Source organism: Homo sapiens, chromosome X (assembly GCF_000001405.40).
Source record: "Homo sapiens chromosome X, GRCh38.p14 Primary Assembly".
In the NCBI taxonomy this organism is placed as follows: Eukaryota; Metazoa; Chordata; class Mammalia; order Primates; family Hominidae; genus Homo; species Homo sapiens.
The window spans coordinates 73,982,214-74,001,398 of record NC_000023.11 but is presented as its reverse complement, the minus strand read 5'-3'; the positions used below and the strand labels follow the sequence as shown (position 1 = coordinate 74,001,398).

General features: G+C 37.6%; 1 long non-coding RNA gene across 1 annotated transcript in view; it reads right to left on the bottom strand.

Moving 5' to 3' along the window:
• JPX (JPX transcript, XIST activator) overlaps positions 1-19,185 on the bottom strand; it is a 126,061-nt gene that overhangs the window by 68,986 nt on the left and 37,890 nt on the right. Inside the window, exon 3 of the long non-coding RNA NR_024582.1 lies at positions 6,438-6,559. This is a non-coding gene — a long non-coding RNA (JPX transcript, XIST activator). The remainder of the gene's footprint in view (positions 1-6,437; positions 6,560-19,185) is intronic.

The window sequence follows — 19,185 nt, the reverse complement described above, 5'->3', positions numbered from 1 at the left end:
TATCCTTAAAAATGAACTGTCTTGTAGGCAACATATAGATGAGACTTTTCAAAATCCATTCATCCACTTTATGTACTTTGATTAGAGAATTTAATCTATTTACATTCAAAGCACTTATTGACAGGTAAAGAATTTCTGCTGTCATTTTGCAATTTGTTTTCTGGTTGATTACAAATTCTTTGCTTTTCTCTTCCTTTCTTGCTGTTTTTTTATGTGATTCAATGTTTTCCTTTTTATATTTTGCATATCTACTTTCTTTTTATATTTTGCATATCTACTAAGGGTTTTTTGCAAACGTTGTGGTTACCATGAACCTTAAACAGTCTCTTACACTTATGAGACTATTTTAAATTAATACAACTAAAATTAGATCAATTACTCAAATGCTATGCTTTTACTTTCAACCCCACATTGTGTTCCTGATGACACAATTTATATCATTTTATAATTTGTATAATTTAAATTATTGTTGCTACAAGTTAAGTTTTGTCTTAACTTTTATGATAAATACATAATTTGTTTTCACACCACCGTTACAGTATTAGCATATTCTCAGTTTGACTGTGTACTTTTTCTGTTTTGAGATGGAGTCTTGCTCTGTCACCCAGGCTGGAGTGCAGTGGTGCCATCTCGGCTCAGTGCAACCTCCACCTCCCAGGTTCAAGCGATTCTCCTGCCTCAGCCTCCAGAGTAGCTGGCATTACAGGCACATACCACCACGCCTGGCTAATTTTTGTATTTTTAGTAAAGACGATGTTGTGCCATGTTGGCCAGGCTGGTCTCGAACTCCTGACCTCAGGTGATGTGCCTGCCTCGGCCTCCCAAACTGCTAGGATTACAGGCGTGAGCCACCGCACCCAGCCAACTATGTACTTACTTTTATCAGCGAGTTTTATACTCACGTTTTCATGTTTCTAATTAGCACTCTTTTACTACAGCTTGAAGGACTCCCTTTAGCAATTCTTCCCGTGCAGGTCTAGTGGTGGTAAACTCCCACATCTTTTGTTTGAGAACTTTATATTTCTCCTTAATTTTTGAAACACAGGATAGTTGGAGATAGTATTCCTGGATGGCAGTGTTTTCCTTTCAGCTTTTTGTATATATCACGACTGCCTTCTGGCGTGAAAGTTTTCTGGTGAAGTCTGCTGACAGTCTTCCGTGGATCATTTTGTATGTAAGAAGAGACTATTCCCTTGCTGCTCTGAAGATTGTCTTTAACCTTTATTTAATTACAATATGGTTTGGTGTGAGTCTCCTTGGATTCATCATACCTGATGTTCGAGATTCTTAGATCTAAATTTCTATTTCCTTGCCAGAATTATGAGGTTTTCTGACATTATTTCTTCAAATATGTTTTCTGTCCTTTTCCCTCTATCTTCTCCATCTGGTAATGTATAAATTATTCCCCTTTGAGGATGTCTCAAAAGTCTCTTAAACTATCTTCAATCTTTTTTCTTTTTTCTCCTCACATTACATGATTTCCAATGGCCTATCTACAAGTTTGATAGCCCTTTCTTCTGCTTCATCGATTCTTCTGTTGGACACATTAAATTTTTGAGTCCAGTTATTGTATTCTTCAACTTTATACTTTTTGTTATCTTTTATTTCTTTATGAAAATTCTCAGTTTGTTCATGCATTGCTCCCATGAGACTCTTTATGGTTGCTCTTTTTAATTTCCTGTCAGGTTAATCACATATCTTCATTTCATTAGGGTTGGTTTCTGAAGACTTATCTTCTTTTATTTAGAGTGTTTCTGTGTTTCATTTTTCTTGACTCAATGTGTTGATTTCTGTGAATTAGATAAGATAACCTCCTCTACCAGTCTTGTTAAACTGGCCTTCGGTAGGAGATGTTTCTCTCCAAATAACCCAGTGAAAGATCTAGATGCCTCTTTGTTCTTCTATAACCCACTTTTACTGGCCTCCAGAGGTGAGGATGAACTAAGTCATAATTTTGCCTTGAGACAGGTACTGGTCCCTCATAATGCAGCTGGAAGGGTTAGTGTTATATGTGTGTTCCAGTTGCTTCTTTCCTTTGAAGAAACTGAGAGACAAAGTTTACATCATACTGATTTTGCACCACACCAAGTAGAGAATTTGTGGTAGATGTCTGTAATCTCTTTGAGACTACTCAATCTGAAACTGAGGCGATAACTTCTGAATGTTTCCAAGTTTGAAAATCACCTATTCTTGCTGGACGCGGTGGCTCATGCCTGTAATCCCAGCACTTTGGGAGGCTGAGGCGGGCGGATCACCTGAGGTCGGGAGTTCGAGACCAGCCTGACCAACATGGAGAAACCCCGTCTCTAGTGAAAATACAAAATTAGACGGGCGTGGTGGTGCATGCTTGTAATCTCAGGTATTCAGGAGGCTGAGGCAGGAGAATCACTTGAACACGGGAGGTGAAGGTTGCAGAGAGCCGAGATTGCGCCACTGCACTCCAGCCTGGGCAACAGTAGTGAAACTCCATCAAAAAAAGAAAAGAAAAAAGAAAAGAAAAGGGGGGGAGGGGAGGGGAGGGGAGGGGAGAGGAGAGGAGAGGAGAGAAAACTACCTATTCTCAGTGGTACAGGAGACTCAGGAATGAAGAGCTCTTTCAACTCCAGAGCTGGGTGATACAGGAGCCAGTACCTTGAATGAGGGATGTAAAATATGGGGCAGTCAGTATGTGTACAAATTACTCCCAGGGAAAGTCTGCAGAAACGAATTCATCACCAGAGCAGGCCAAGTAGGAAAGCATGGGAAGTACCCAATCTCACAATAAGGCACAGTAAGTCACACAACCTCCTGCCAGTAAGGATTTGGAAGCCTGGACTTATTGCTGGAGCAATCTGAAGAAGAAATTGCGAAGAACATTCATCTCCCTTTAAGGCTTCCTGAAGTCTCACAAACTCACTTCACACAGAATCTCCAGGCCAATATGTTGTTGGAACAAGACTGGTACATAGGAAGGCAGGTGAAGTACAGTTCCTCACATATAGCATAAGAGAGGTCTGTCTCCCAGTCTCCTTCCAGGGAGAGATTACAAGGTTATACATATCTGGAGAAAGCTGGGAAAAGGCATGGTGGGTTTTGACCCTTCCATTTTTGCTCACTGAGGCCTCAAATCTCTTTCAAGGGAAACTATAGACCTGGATTAATCACTAGAGCAATCCAGGGAAGATGTAGGGAGTGCCATCCCTCCCATTAACACTTGAGGAGGTTTATGCTTCATTTGCTACACGGGCTCCTAGGTGCAGGCATGATAGAAGACACAAACACAAGAAGCTGCTAGAAATGTGCAGCCAAACTGTTTCCAGTGAGAAGCTAGAGGGTATACTGATCCCAGGAGATACAGCTGTTGGAAGTGCTCCTGCAGTTCAACCCCCCACCCATTCTACTGTTCTTCAAGGAAATACTCTAGTGCCAAGTCCTTGTGCTCCTCATATAATGGGATTTAAGGGCCAAGCCTTCTGGTAGAGAATGTAAGAACTGGGACACTATATGTGTGCTATCAACCCGTCACCCCTCAGGAAGAGGGTGGGAGTTAAGGATTCTTTCCAAATTATACCAGCCTGTGCTCAAGGTGAGGTTTAACCATCAGTATACCTCAGTTTATCCTTCCCATTTTGTTGTAGATATTTTCTCAGTCATCCAGTGTGTGAGCATCCTTCAACTACATTTTGGCTTTCTCTTGGATAGAATTGATCCACATGCATGTACTTACTTGGTGTATCCATGAAAGGAGGGACAAAACAGGTACCTCCAATTCTTTTTTTTTTTAAATTATACTTTAAGTTCTAGGATACATGTGCACAATGTGCAGGTTTGTTACATATGTATACATGTGCCATGTTGGTGTGCTGCACCCACTAACTCGTCATTTACATTAGGTATATCTCCTAATGCTATCCCTCGCCTAGCCCCCCACCCCACGACAGACCTGTGTGTGATGTTCCCCACCCTGTGTCCAAGTGTTCTCATTGTTCAATTCCCACCTATGAGTGAGAACATGCGGTGTTTGATTTTTTGTCCTTGCGATAGTTTGCTGAGAATGATGGTTTCCAGCTTCATCCATGTCCCTACAAAGGACATGAACTCACCCTTTTTTATGGCTGCACAGTATTCCATAGTGTATATGAGGCAGCTCCAATTCTATTATGTCACTGACATCTCTCTAGGACTTTTCTTACACATCCTAAAGGACTCGACTTCATATTTACACTAACATGAGTATAATATAGAAATATTACCTCTATATGGGCTGGGCGCAGTGGCTCACGCCTGTAATCCCAGCACTTTGGGAGGCCAAGGCGGGTGGATTGCTTGAGGTCAGAAGTTCGAGATCAGCCTGGCCAAAAGGTGAAACCCCTTTTCTACTAAAAATACAAAAATTAGCTGGGCCTGGTGGTGCGTGCCTGTAATTTCAGCTACTCAGGAGGCTGAGACAGGAGAATCGCTTGAACCCAGGAGGTGGAGATTGCAGTGAGCTGAGATCACACCACTGCACCCCAGCCTGGGCAACAGAGCAAGACTCCCTCTCAAAAAAAAAAAAAAAAAAAGAAAGGAAAAATCATTATACCTCTATATATCTCTATAACTTCTCCCTTTTCAGCCATTATTATAATACAATAAAATCCTCAAAATTATATACTTAGTTATATAATTTTATATAATCAGGTCAGAGAAGAATGGTAAGAAAATTTTTTTTTAGCATTTTATTATCCTTCTTATTATTTCTGGTTCTTTTATATTACCCCTGTGGATCTGAGTTACCATCAAGAATTATTTCCTGGCCAGGTGTGGTGGCTCACGCCTGTAATCCCAGCACTTTGGGAGGCCCAGGCAGGCAGATCACCTGAGGTTGGGAGTTTGAGACCAGCCTGACCAACATGGAGAAAACCTGTCTCTACTAAAAATACAAAAAATTAGCCGGGTGTGGTGGCTCATGCCTGTAATCCCAGCTACTTGGGAGGCTGAGGCAGGAGAATCGCTTGAACCTGAGAGGTGGAGGTTGTGGTGAGCCAAGATCGTGCCATTGCACTCCAGCCTGGGCAATAAGAGCGAAACTCTGTCTCCAAAAAAAAAAGATTCATTTCCTTATTACAACAGTTTTGTTCTCAACCACATACTTTGTGATATTATTAAATAGATCTCATTTCTATATGTTGTAAGCTCACAAATACAAATATGGAAATACTGCACACAATACACATATATGAATATTTATAAGTATACAGTGTATAGGCATATATGCCAGCTAATACATAAAAAATATGCATTTATACTAGCCTCTATAATTATTACATAATTATGACTGGTACTCTGATTTTTCATAGGAATTTCAATTACAGTTTGGGGTCAGTATTCTTCATTCTCAAAAACTAGCTTTTCTTACAAGGTGGGTCTGCTAAGAACACATTCCCAGTTTTTGTTTATCTAGCAATGTCTTTACTTTGATTTAAGAATGTCAGTCGTGCTTCAGGTAAAATTTTGAATTTACTTCTTCTACACTATTAATATGTCATACACCTCCACTGTGGCCTTAATTATTACTGTATTATTAGAGTTTCCTTGTATATCAGCCATTATTCTCTTCATGCTTCCAAGATGTTTTTTTACTTTCATAATTTTACTTTGATGTGTCTAAGGGGGAATATATTTGCAATTATTATACTTCAAATTCTTTACACTTCTTGGATTTTTTTTTCATAATATAGAAAATTTTCAGGTATTATTTCTTTAAATATTTTTTCTCTCAGCTCGTTGTCCTTATGTTCTGGCACTACCACTGCACATATGTTGGTATTCTCAATGGCTTCTGCCATTTCTCTGAAACTGCATTTTACTTACTTCTTTATTCTGTATTTTTTAAACTGGGTGATTTCTATCAATCTATCTTCAAATTCAATGATTGTTTATTCTACCAGTTAAAATCTAGTATTAAACCTCTCTAATGAATTGTAATTTCTGTTATTATACTTTACAACTCCAGATTTCCATATGGTTCTTTTCTATAATTCTTACCTATTTATTTATATTCTCTAGTTGCAAAATTATTGTAATTATATCATTGCCTCCTGAGGTATGGTGTCCTCTAGTTCTTTTAAGATATTTATAATGGCCAATTTGAAATATTTGTCTGCTTAGTAACACATCTTATGCCTTCAAAGTTGAGATGTTTTGCCAGTCTTCTTCCCCATAAGGTCACGTTTTCTTACTTCTCTTTATCTCTCAATTATTTTTGTTGTTGAAAATTAAACATTGTCAGTAATATATGGTAGCAATACTGGCTACTATCACTCCAGGACAAGGTGTTACTATTTACTGTCTTATTTTTACTAATTGGCTGTAATATTTTAGTGAAGTCTATTTCTCCTACAAGACCAGTCTGACCAACATGGAGAAACCCCGTCTCTACTAAAAATACAAAATTAGCCGGGCGTGGTAGCGCATACCTGTAATCTCAGCTACTCGGGAGGCTGAGGCAGGAGAACCACTTGAACTGGGGAGGCAGAGGTTGCAGTGAGCCAAGGTCATGCCATTGCATTCCAGCCTGGGCAACAAGAGCGAACTCCATCTCAAAAAAAAAAGGGTAGGAATATGAGTCCCTCATGGTACTAAACAAATAAGGGAGAAGGGAGGTCTTGTGCTTACAGTATTTTGCTAAGGCCTGACTAGTAAATCTAGCAGGAGTACTACAGTTGCAAAGTAACCAAGGTAAAGAATGAGCAAGGAAAAGGGTAATCAATGAATGCCAAATCCACAGGGAATATATCTTAAAATGTCTCACTACCTTATCATGAAACCATTCTGTATCTAGACTGTAACAGTGTGAATAGTCTGGTTGGGATAGTGTACTACAGTTTTACAAGGCTGTGGAAACACCATAGATGACAGAAGGCTAAAAATACATGACAACCAAATGTAATACCTGCTTCTAGACTGGATCCAGTATTGAAGAGGTTAAAAATGCTATTAAGAAAACATTTTTATAAAACATGGAAGGTAGTTTAGACAAAAGTATGATATCAGTGTAAATTTATGAGGTTGACAAATGTACTGTGGTTATAAGGTTATAAGTAAGGGTGCTTAGGAAGCACCCACAGAAAGTATATTTCAAAATAGCTAAAAGATGTAGAATGTTACCAATACAAAGAAATGATAAATGTTTGAGGTGACAGATAAACCAATTACACATGGTATGTATGTATCAAAATATCACATGTGCCCCATAAATATGGGTAAATATTATGTATCAATTTAAAAAACTGCCTCTAAACATCTTGCCAAAAGCCCTCTAGGGGGCCAAAACCACCCCTGGTTGAGGACAACTGGACTAAATGCATCAGACATTCAATCCTACCTGAGTTCTGTGAGGGTAAAGAAAAGGAATGACATGAAGAAAACCTTGAATTTTGCTGAATTTGCTAGAAAACAAAAGCATCTGAATGATTGAAACAGGAAAAAAAAACACAAATCTCATAAAATCACTATACCCTTCTACCTATTCCCTAGAGATGAAAGGAAGAATACTGACAAGACTGTTTCTTATAATATAAATAACTAGTATATACATGCTAAACAGAATATTCTCTACAATATAAGAATAAAAGTAATAGATCTGGAGTTAGGAGGCATGAGTTCTCACTAAATAGCTTCATTTCATTGGGCTTCAGCTTAATGATCTGTAAAATGGAGGTGTCATGGGAAGGCAGTAGAGAGGGCTGTAAATAGATTTCTGAATTTTTTTAATTCAACAAATGTCAATGACTTATATTCTAGGTACAATAGTCATTATTATATAAATGATGAAAAGACAGATCTCCTCCTGCAAGGAGATTACAGTCTATTAGAATGACAGACAAAATTAAAAAACAACTACAATAATATATATAAGCATTATAATAGAAGCATGTACAAAGAGCAGCAGAACCCTAGAAACGTAACCCAAATCTGCTTAAGGAAATCAGGAAAACCTTTACAAGGAAGTGGCATTTGAGCTAGAACTTGAAAGATGAATAAGAATTTTGTGAGAACACAAGAAGGGGGAAGATATTCCAGTTAGAAAGGCAACTGCACAGAGATTTGCTGCTTTTTCAAAAAGAATAGCATATTTAAGGAACTACAAGCACTGCAGTGGTGCTAGAAGATAAATGGAAAAGAGGTGAAAAGAGATCAAGCGGAATATCTAGACTAAATTATTGAAGCTTGTATGCCATGAAAACTGTTTTACTACTGTAGATGATAATTCAAAATCTATGTGGTAGACAGATCACCCTTGCAGTAGTGTAGAGAACAAGATTGGAGGGGAACAAGCCAAGAGACCAATCAAGTGACTATTGCTATAGTCCACATTAAGGTAGTGAAGGCCTACAAAAGGACAATGGTTATATGGACAGGAATAAAGAATACTGAGGAAAGAGAATAGGCAGAACTTAAGTCTGAATGTTGGAGGGATTATAACCAATGTTTACTGAGAATTTTGCTAAGTACCTTTTTGTTGGTAATACTTCATTTAATCCTTATAATACTCCTAATAGGGATGGAAAGCAGTCCAACATGCTAAAAGCTAATTTGCCAAAGAATAAGTTTGCCATATTTACCAAATATTTGTTTTTGGGAATATTTATCCTGGATATATTTAATAAATGTATCCTGGTTAACTCAAAAAAGAAAGAAGAAAGGACACTGGCCGTAAATAACTACTGTGGTTACACCAGTCCAAACTTCCGGAATATCCCATAAGTCAAAAATAATAATAAGTGAGAAAAACAAGTTGCAGAATAAGTAAAATATAGATAGCATTTTTAAGAAACTTTAATAACATGGAGAATGCCACCTTTTTATTAGTATATAGCTATACAGTAAAAGTATTTTAAAAATGCATGGTAAGGATATATGACTTCAGAATAGAACTTCATGGTGGTATGAGATGGAAAGGTACAAAGCTTCAATTGTATCTATGATGTATTAATTTCTTAAAATCTGAAACAAATATAGTAAGGTATAAGATTTGTTAAAGCAGGGTAGCGGTAATAAGTGTTCAGTATGTCATTCTATGTATTTTCTGTTTGAAATATTTCATTTAAAAAACTCCTTTAAAAACTTTAGACGCTAAGCTTGCTATTTTACACAGAATAAAGTCCAAGTTATCAAGGAAGGTACTCTAGGTTCTGTACACTCTAGACTCAAACTGCTTTTCCTATTGCATCACCTACTGCTCTCCACCTAACATAACCCATATGCCACAGATAAAGTCAATATACCATTCTAGGCCAGGTGCTGTGGGGTCGCGCCAGTAATCCTAGCACTTTGGGGGGCCAAGGCGTGTGGATCACTTGAGACTTGGAGTTCGAGACCAGCCTGGCCAACATGAAGAAATCCATCTCTACTAAAAATTTAAAAATTAGCTGGGGCTAGTGGTGGCACATGCCTGTAATCCCAGCTACTTGGGAGGCTCAGGCACCAGAACTGCTTGAACCAGTAGGCAGAGGTTACAGTGAGCCGAGATTGCACCGATGGACTCCAGCAAGACTCTGTCTCAAAAAAATAAAAATACGGTTCTAAATATGCCAAAAGCCTGAAAAATAAAATTATTTTGCTCTTATTTCCTCTCAGAATATTCTTTTTCCCAATCTGTATCAGGAAAAACTTACACTAATTCTTGAAAGCCAAACACAAATTTTACCACCTCTCTGAAACCACCTTTGAAAACCAAATTCAGATCAGCCTCTGTGTTCCACACTATGTACTTTATTCCTTTACTATTACAACATGTCGCATTGTCAATTTCTTGTTCACTGAAGATAAGGGTTTATTACTGTTGTTGATCTTACCAAAGAACCAGATTTTGGCTTTTTAAAGTTTCTCTATTATCTGTTTTCCACATCATTGATTCCTACTCTATTGTTTCCTTACTTGTACTTACTCCAGGTTTACTTTGCTGTTCTTGTTCTAGCTTCCTAAGGTAGAAACTTTGGTTACTGACATTTAGACTTTTCTTCCTTTATAATAAAAGCATTTAAACTATAATTTGCCCTCCAAGCACTGCTTTAGCTACATTCCATGAATTTTGACATTATATTATCATTACCATTCGATTAAAAATGTCTTCTAATTGTGATTTCCCTTTGACTCATGATCATTTAAACTTGTGTTGTCTAATTTCCAAATATTTGGATCATTCCTAGATATTTTAATAATTTCTATTTTAATTTTACTTCCATTGTGGTGACAGAACATATATAAATTTCAATCATTTTAAATTTACCAGCTGGGCATGGTGGCTCACATCTGTAATCCCAGCACTTTGGGAGGCTGAAGTGGGAGGATCACCTGAGGTCTGGAGTTTGAGACCAGCCTGGCCAACATGGTGAAACCCTGTCTCTACTAAAAATACAAAAATTAGCCAGGCGTGGTAGCATGCACCTGTAATACCAGCTACTCGGGAGGCTGAGGCATGCAGAATAGCTTGAACCCAGGAAGCGGAGGTTGCAGTAAGCCAAGATCGCGCCATTGCACTCCAGCCTGGGTGACAGAGCAAGTGAGACTGTCTCAAGAAATAAATAAATTTATCAAGACACACACAAAAAATTTATCAAGGCATATTTCATGGTCCACCATTTGGTCTATGTTGAATATATGATGTACAATTGATAAGAATATCTTCTTCACAATTCGGGGAAGTAGTGTTCAATACTTATCAATTATATTGAGGTGGTTTGTAGTATTCCTCAGATCATCTATGTCTTTACTAATTTTGTTTTTTTGCTAGAAATTCTATCAATTGGTCAGAGTAGGGTGGTAAAAATCTTCAGCACTAATTGTAAAAGTATCTTTTACCTCTTAATTTTGTCGATTTTTGCTATATATACTTTTTTTTTTTTTTTTGAGATAGAGTTTCACCATTTTGCCCAGGCTGAAGTGAAGTGGGGCAATCTCAGCTCACTGCAACCTCCGTCCCCCAGGTTCAGGCAATTCTCCTGCCTTGGCCTCCCAAGTAGCTAGGATTATAGGCGCCCACCACCACACTCAGCTAACTTTTGTATTTTTAGTAGAGACCGGGTTTCGCCATGTTGGCCAGGCTGGTCTTGAACTCCTGACCTCAGGTGATCCACCCCCGCCTCAGCCTCCCAAAGTGCTGGGATTTCAGGCGTGAGACACCGCGCCCAGCCACTTTATATATTTTTAATAAAAATATGTTTATAATCATATATAAATTTATGATTGCTACCGCTTTCTGATGAATTGATACTTTTAACATTATGAAAAATCCCTCTTTATTTCTGATAATACTCTGTCTTATGGTCTATTTTGTATGTATTAATAGCACTACCCCACCCCCAGCTTATCTGTACCTTCAAGGGTTTCTTTTTTTTTTTTTTTTTTTTTTTTGAGACGGATTTTCACTCTTTTGCCAAGGCTGGAGTAAAGTGGCGCAATCGCAATCTTGGCTCACTGCAGCCTCTGCCCCTCGGGTTCAAGCAATTCTCCTGCTTCAGCCTCCCAAGTAGCTAGGATTACAGGCACCCGCCACCATGCCTGGCGATTTTTTGTATTTTTAGTAGAGATGGGGTTTTGCCATGTTGGCCAGGCTGGTCTCTAACTCCTGACCTCAGGTGATCCACCCACCTCAGCCTCCCAAAGTGCTAGGATTTCAGGCGTGAGCTACCGTGCCCAGCCTGTACTTTTATATTTTAAGTAAATTTCATGTTGATAGCATATAAATGGGTCTTGCTTTTTAATCCATTCTGATAATCTCTGACTTTTAATTGAAGTGTTTAGCCCATTAACAATATAGTTGCTTAAGACTCCCATTTACTTATTTTCTATTTGCTTTCTCTGTTTTTTTGAACCTCTGTTCCCCTTCTTCATATCACACTGCAAACAGGGATGTGTTATTCAAATAACAATTTCAGTGCCTACCCACATTAGGGTTTTTACTGAGGCTACACTCAGTAAAAATGCAGAATAAATTAATTAGTAAAACCAGATAAATATAAGATGTAAATGAAAACTTAAGGGGCAATTTCATTCAACATATACTGACAACACTATATATTAACTTGAAAAATAGAATAATTTATATTCAGCTCTGGAATACACTTAAATGTTATGATTGGTGGTGCCAGAAATTTACAATATTTCATATATAATAACAAACAGAAAGGTACCAACTCCATATAACTACAAAGCTCTTTTTTTCTTTTATTTTTTTCAATTTTCCTTACTCTATTTCAGGGATTAGTATCATCAGCTCTCAAAATTATGACAAACACTAATCTAAGAAACACTTCATACCCTTTTTCTCTTTGAACCTGCTCTTTTCTGGTTCATACCTTTCCTAGGATGGAAGACAGTTTTGCTTTGAAGCATTTGCCTTTTTAAAAAATATTCTTTTCTTATTTAATTAATAATCAGGTTTTGATTTTTTTAACCTAAGACTTACTACCTAAAATAAAAAATCAAATAATACAAAAAAGGCCAGGCATGATGGCTCACACCTGTAATCCCAGCACTTTGGCAGGCTAAAGCTGGCAGATTGCTTCAGCCCAGGAGTCCCTGAGACCAGCCTGGGAAACATGGCAAAACCCTGTCTCTACAAAAAAAAACACAAAATTAGCCAGATGTGGTAGCAAGTGCCGGTAATCTCAGCTACTTGGGAGGCTGAGGTGGTAAGATTTCTTGAGCCTGGGAGGTCGAGGCTGCAGTGAGCTATGATTATGCCACTGCACTCCAACCTGCGTGACAGAGCAAGACCTTGTCTCAAAAAAAAAAAAAACAAAACACAATACAGAAAAGTATAAATAAGAAAGCAATGAATTACCCAAACTGCCATCATCCTAAAAAGCTTAACATTTATTGGACATTTTTTGGCATATAATTTAGCAAGAAAAATGTGAATGTATTAAAAACACAGTTAGAAATAATTTCATTAACCTGGGAACCTGGGATTATACCACAAAGTGGCTACTGGGAAGAGGAGAACTGACTGGAAAGGAGCACAAGGAAATTTTCAGGAGTAAAGAAAATGTGATCTATTTTGTCAAATGGAACACCTATGATGCATTTTAATGTATGTAAATTATACCTCAATATTTTAAAATGGGGTTATTTTAATGCCATTTATTATATAATTTATTTCAAATTACTCCATTTAATTTTACTTGCTATAAAGACAGGAAAATGAGAGCAAAATGACAGTGAAGGAGTTACTAATGTTCAGATAAATGTTATTTCACAAGAAATATAACTACCTAAAAAAGGACCACTGAAAAAACTTTTTAATAAAAAATAGGGTAAAACATTTTGTATTTATTTATGTATATAAATGAATATATATTTACATATAAAATAAAATTAATAAAATAAAAATAATTGAATAAAATATATTTATATGCATAAATTATATATATTATACACATATAATATATATATAAAATGTTTTACCACATAGTAACTTTAGAGTAAGTATTGGCACCATACCATGATAAGATTAGCACTCAATAATTATTCCTACACCTTTCAGAAAAACATTTTATTATGCAATCTTAATTCCCTCAGTTGCTCTTCTAGTTCAATACTTACATGGATTCAATGAATAGCACCAGCCCACTGTCACATTTCTTCTATTCCAGTGTTATTTTTGTTTACTTCTTGGTTAACTATAATTGACTGTTAAATACCTTGATCAAGAAGGGTTTATAGATGTTAATCCCAATAGTTATTTTATATTTGATAACATCTGCCAGTCTCCTTAATATTTGCAGGACAACTTGTCTGGTTATAAAAAAAATTGTGATGTGCTCCAGTCGTCATGGTGAACTTAAGTGCTATAGAAAACCTCACCCAAAGCAACAGAAAGTAGAAATGCTGAATAAAACAAAACAAAACAATAAAAATACATAAGAAATACCAAAAGGATGAGAAGAAATTCCTCAGGTACCAGAAACAGGGCAGAACTCAAAGCCACTGTTGTAAAGTCTGAGTAACAAATGTGGCCTCAAAGCATGAAGAGGTGCTTAAAGCAGGAGCTCCCTGATGAGGCCAAAGCACTACCTATCCAAAAAAGAAAGTGAAAATTCACAGTTCCCACAAGCAATATATAAAAGTAACCTTTCCCCATCACTGCCAACAGTAGTTGTATCCAGTTAATTTTATCCCAATAAAGTAGATGAGAAAGGATCTTGTACTAACACTACAAATTTGCATTTACTTCAGTATCATTTTTATGTCTTTTATTGATTGGATAAGCACTGCCATTGAATTAACTATTCATTTATTTTACCCATTAATCTACGATTTTTCTTACTAATTCCTTGAAATGGCATAAATAGCAAGCCTTTATCTTTTTTTGGAACAGGGTTTTACTCTGTCACCCAGGCTGGAAATGGCGTGATCTCAGCTCACAGCAACCTCCACCTCCTGGGCTCAAGGGATCCTCCTGCCTCAGCCTCCTGAGTAGCTGGGACTACAGACGCACACTACCATGCCCAGCTAATTTTTGTATTTTTGGTCGAGATTGGGTTTCGCCATGTTACCCACCAGGCTAGTCTCAAACTCCTAAGCTCAAGTGATTGTTGTCTCAGCCTCCTGTGAGCCACCATGCCCAGCCAAGCCTTTATTTACCTTTTATACACAAAGCAAGTTAGGTATCTTTCGAATTGTTTGTGGCATATTTTATCATAAAACTTTTTATCTTTAAACATTATATATTTAAATCTAATTTTGTTTTTAAAAATTCAGTATTTTATTTAGAAGCTGTAATTTTCAAAACTGAAAAAAGTTAATTTTCAGAAATATTAAAATGTTCTAAGTCTTCACAGTTTTAGCACTCGCCTTCATCATCTATTACTAAAAAATTGATGCAATGGCCGGGCACGGTGGCTCCCACCTGTAATCCCAGCACTTTGGGAGGCCGAGGTGGGTGGATCACCTGAGGTCGGAAGTTTGAGACCAGCCTGACCAACATGGAGAAACCTCGTCTCTACTAAAAATACAAAATTAGCCAGGTGTGGTGGCACATGCCTGTAATCCCTGCTACTCAGGAGGCTGAGGCAGGAGAATCACTTGAGCCCAGGAGGCGGAGGTTGCAGTGAGCCGAGATGCGCCATTGCACTCCAGCCTGGGTAGTAAGAGCGAAACTCTGTCTCAAAAAAAAAAAAAAAAAAAAAAGATGCAAGTCTTAACACAGCCTGAACAAATTTATTATCAGCAATCCCTTGGAATCAATAATTTAAAAATGATTTATGTTTAAAAAACAATCATTTTTTAAATTATTTTTCCAAGTTTTCTTTCCTTCATGGGTTAATTTCCTACAGACCAAAGACCCCTTGGGCAGACAAAGCAGATTTCTGAACAAAGAATACTACCATGGATGAAGACCATTTCATAATGACAAAGAAGTTAAGATAGACTTAACAGTGTTAAAAGTCTATGCAGAGCTTCAAAATAAATTAAGCAAGAATTACTAGAATTTCAAGGAAAAACAGACTAATTCACAATTAGATTGAAAGACTTCAATATATCTTTCTCCATAAATGACAGAAGTGGATAGAAAAATCACTAAGGATATAAAAGACTTGAAAACTCAAATGACTTACTTGACCTAGCTGATATTTTATAACTCTTCAGTCAACAATGGCAGAACACACATTTTTTAAAGAAGACACTGAACATTTACCAAGACATACCACATTCTGGGTCATAAAACAATCTTGAACCAATTTTTAAAAAATGTAATTCATACAAAGTATATTCTTTGACCATATGAGAATTAAAATAGGTAACAGTCACAGAAACATCTCTGAAATATCCCTAAATATACATAAACTAAATAGCACATTCCAGGACCAAAAAGAAATCAAGAGGGAAATCAGAAAGTATATTGAACAGAATCAAAATGAAAATGTCAGAATATGTGGGGTGACACCAAAAAACGTATGTAGAAAAAAACAGCACAAAATGCCAATTTGAAAAAGAAAAACCTCAATTCAGTGACTTGGAGTTAAGAAACTAGAAAAAGAACAAATTAAACAAAAAGCAAGCAGAAAATAAGAAAATAATAAACACCAAACCAAAAATCGATGAAATAACTTCCTTAGTAATCTTTTCTTATCCACCTTTTATCTTTTAATTCCTTAAGATACAAACTACCAAAGAATATAGAGGCCGGGTGCGGTGGCTCACACCTGTAATCCCAGCACTTTGGGAGGCCGAGGCAGGTAGATCATTTGAGGTCAGGAGTTCAAGACCAGCCTGGTCAACATAGCAAAACTCTGTCTCTACTAAAAATACAAAAATTAGCTGGGTGGTAATGGTGTGCACTTGTAATCCCAGGTACTCGGGAGGCTGAGGTAGGAGAATCATTTGAGCCTGGGAGGTGGAGGGTGCCAGTAAGCCAAGATCGCTCCAGGTGGAGGGTGCTGGTGAGCCGAGATCGTGCCACTGCACTCCAGTCTGAGCAAGAGAGTGAGACCCTGTCTCCAAAAAAAAAAAAAAAAAAAAAGATACAAACTACCAAAGCTCGTTCAAAAAATATATAACCTGGCTGGGCACAGTGGCTCAGACCTATAATCCCAACACTTTGGGAAGCTGAGGCGGGCTGATCACCTGAAGTTAGGAGTTTGAGACCAGCCTGGCCAACATGGTGAAACACTGTGGCTACTAAAAATACAAAAATTAGCCGGGTGTGGTGGTGCGCACCTATAGTCCCAGGTACTTTGGGAGGCTGAGACTCAAGAATCACTTGAACCCCGGAGGTGGAGGTTGCAGTGAGCCGCGATCACACCATTGCACAGTGCACTCCAGCCTGGGCAACAGAGTGAGAATGTCTCAAAAGAAAAAAAAAAAAAAATCGGGCGTGGTGGCAGGCACCTGTAATCCCAGCTACTTGGGAGGCTGAGGCAGGAGAATCGCTTGAACCCGGGAGGCGGAAGTTGCAGTGAGACGAGATGGCGCCATTGCACTCCAGCCTGGGGGACAAGAACGAGACTTCATCTCAAAAAACAAAACAAAACAACACAACAACAACAAATATATCTACATATAACCTGAATATTCATATATCCATTAATGACATAGAATTAGTAATTTTAAAACTTCCATAAGGAAAACAACAGACCAAGCTGTTTCACTGATAAATTCACAAGTGAATTCTACCAAAACATTCAAGGATTAAAAAATATGGATTCTAGGCCGGATGCAGTGGCTCACACCTGTAATCCCAGCACTTTGGGAGGTCGAGGTGGGCGGATGATCTGAGGTCAGGAGTTCCAGACCAGCCTGGCCAACATGGTGAAACCCCATCTCTACTAAACATACAAAAAAAATTAGCTGGATGTGGTGGCGCACACCAGCAATCCCAGCTACTTGGGAGACTGAGGCAGGGAGAATCGCTTGAAACGAGGCGGCAGAGGTTGCAGTGAGCCGAGATCACGCCACTGCACTCCAGCTTGGGCAACAAAGCAAGACTCCGTCTCAAAAAAATAAAATAAAATAAAATATGGATTCTAAAAAAATCATTACAGAAAACTGAAGAGGTATTACTTACTGTCCTACTCATTTTAATGTGGCCATAAACACCGTGATACTAAAACCTCATAAAGACATTATAAGAAAAGGAAATCACATTCCAATCTTCCTCATGAAGATAAATGCAACAATCCATGGGTGGTTTTTTTTTTTTTTTCAACTTTTATTTTGGTTTCAAGGTATACATGTGCAGTTTTGTTACATGGGTAAATTCTGTGTCACTGGGGTTTGGTGTACAAATTATTTAATCACCCAGGTAGTGAGCATAGTACCCAATAGGTAGTTTTTTGATCTTCACCCTCCTTCCACCACCCTCTCTTGAGTAGGCCCTGGTGTCTATTGTTCACATTAGACATTTATGTGAACATGTGTACTCATGTTTAGTTCTCATGAATAAGGGAGAACATGGGGTATTTGCTTTTCCGTTCCTGCATTAATATGCTTAGGATAAAGGTCTCCAGCTATATCCATGTTGCTGCAAAGGACATGGTTTCATTTTTTATGGCTGTATAGTATTACATGATATAAATATACCACATTTTATCTAGCCAACCATTTGGGTACCTAAGTTGACTCAAATGCAACAATTCTTAACAAAATATTAGGAAATCTAATCCAACAATATGCAAATTGGATAAATTATATCATGAGAAAGTAGGGTTTATCATAAAATGTAGGCCTGTTTCATAACTCAAAATTCAATCAATGCAGTTCAATATATTACATTTAAAATATATATATTATCACCTCGATGGACATAAAAATAGCATTTGACTAAACTGAAAACCCATTCAAGGCTTTAAAACTCTCCTAAAAGTGAGAATGAAAAAGAACTTACTTAATCTAACAAAAGAAACCTATAAGACAACAATAACAAAAACCTATAACTAACGTCATTCTTAATGGAGAAAGACTTAATGCTTTACTTTCTCCAGAAGATGGGAATAAGACATAGATTCCCATTCTCACCACTCCTTTTGTGTGTGGTGGGGGGGGAGTTGTTTGTTTTTCTTTGAGACGGGGTCTCTGTTGCCCAGGCTGGAGTGCAGTGGCACAATCATGGCTCACTGCAGCCTTGACTTCCCAGACTCAAGTAATCCTCCCACCTCAGCCTCCCTGGCAGCTGGGACTACAGGCGCATGCCACCATGCCTGGCTACTATATATTTTTTTTTTGTAGAGACAGGGTTTCGCCATGTTGCCCAGGGTAGTCTTGAACTCCTGGACTCAAGCGATCCACCCGCCCTGGCCTCCCAAAGCGCTGGGATTACTTGCATGAGCCACTGTGCCAGCTTTCTCACCACTTCTAGTCAACGCTGTACTAGGAGTTCTAGGCAGTAAATAAGGAAAAAAAATTAAAGACAATGAGATTGGAGAAGAAATAAAATTGTCCTTATTTGCATATGAAATGATCCTATTTGTAGTTCTATTATGAAATCCTTATTCTTAACCTAAGAATTTCACAGTAAAACTACTATAACAAAGTTTAAGGAAGTAATCGGATACAAGATTAAAATCAACTATATATCTATATACTAGCAATAAACTGAAATTAAGAGAACTCTATTCTGAATAGCATCAAAAAGAGTAAAATACTTAAGAATAAATTTAACAAAAGAAGAGAAAGATTTATACATTAAAAACTGCAAAATATTGCATGGAGAAATTGAAG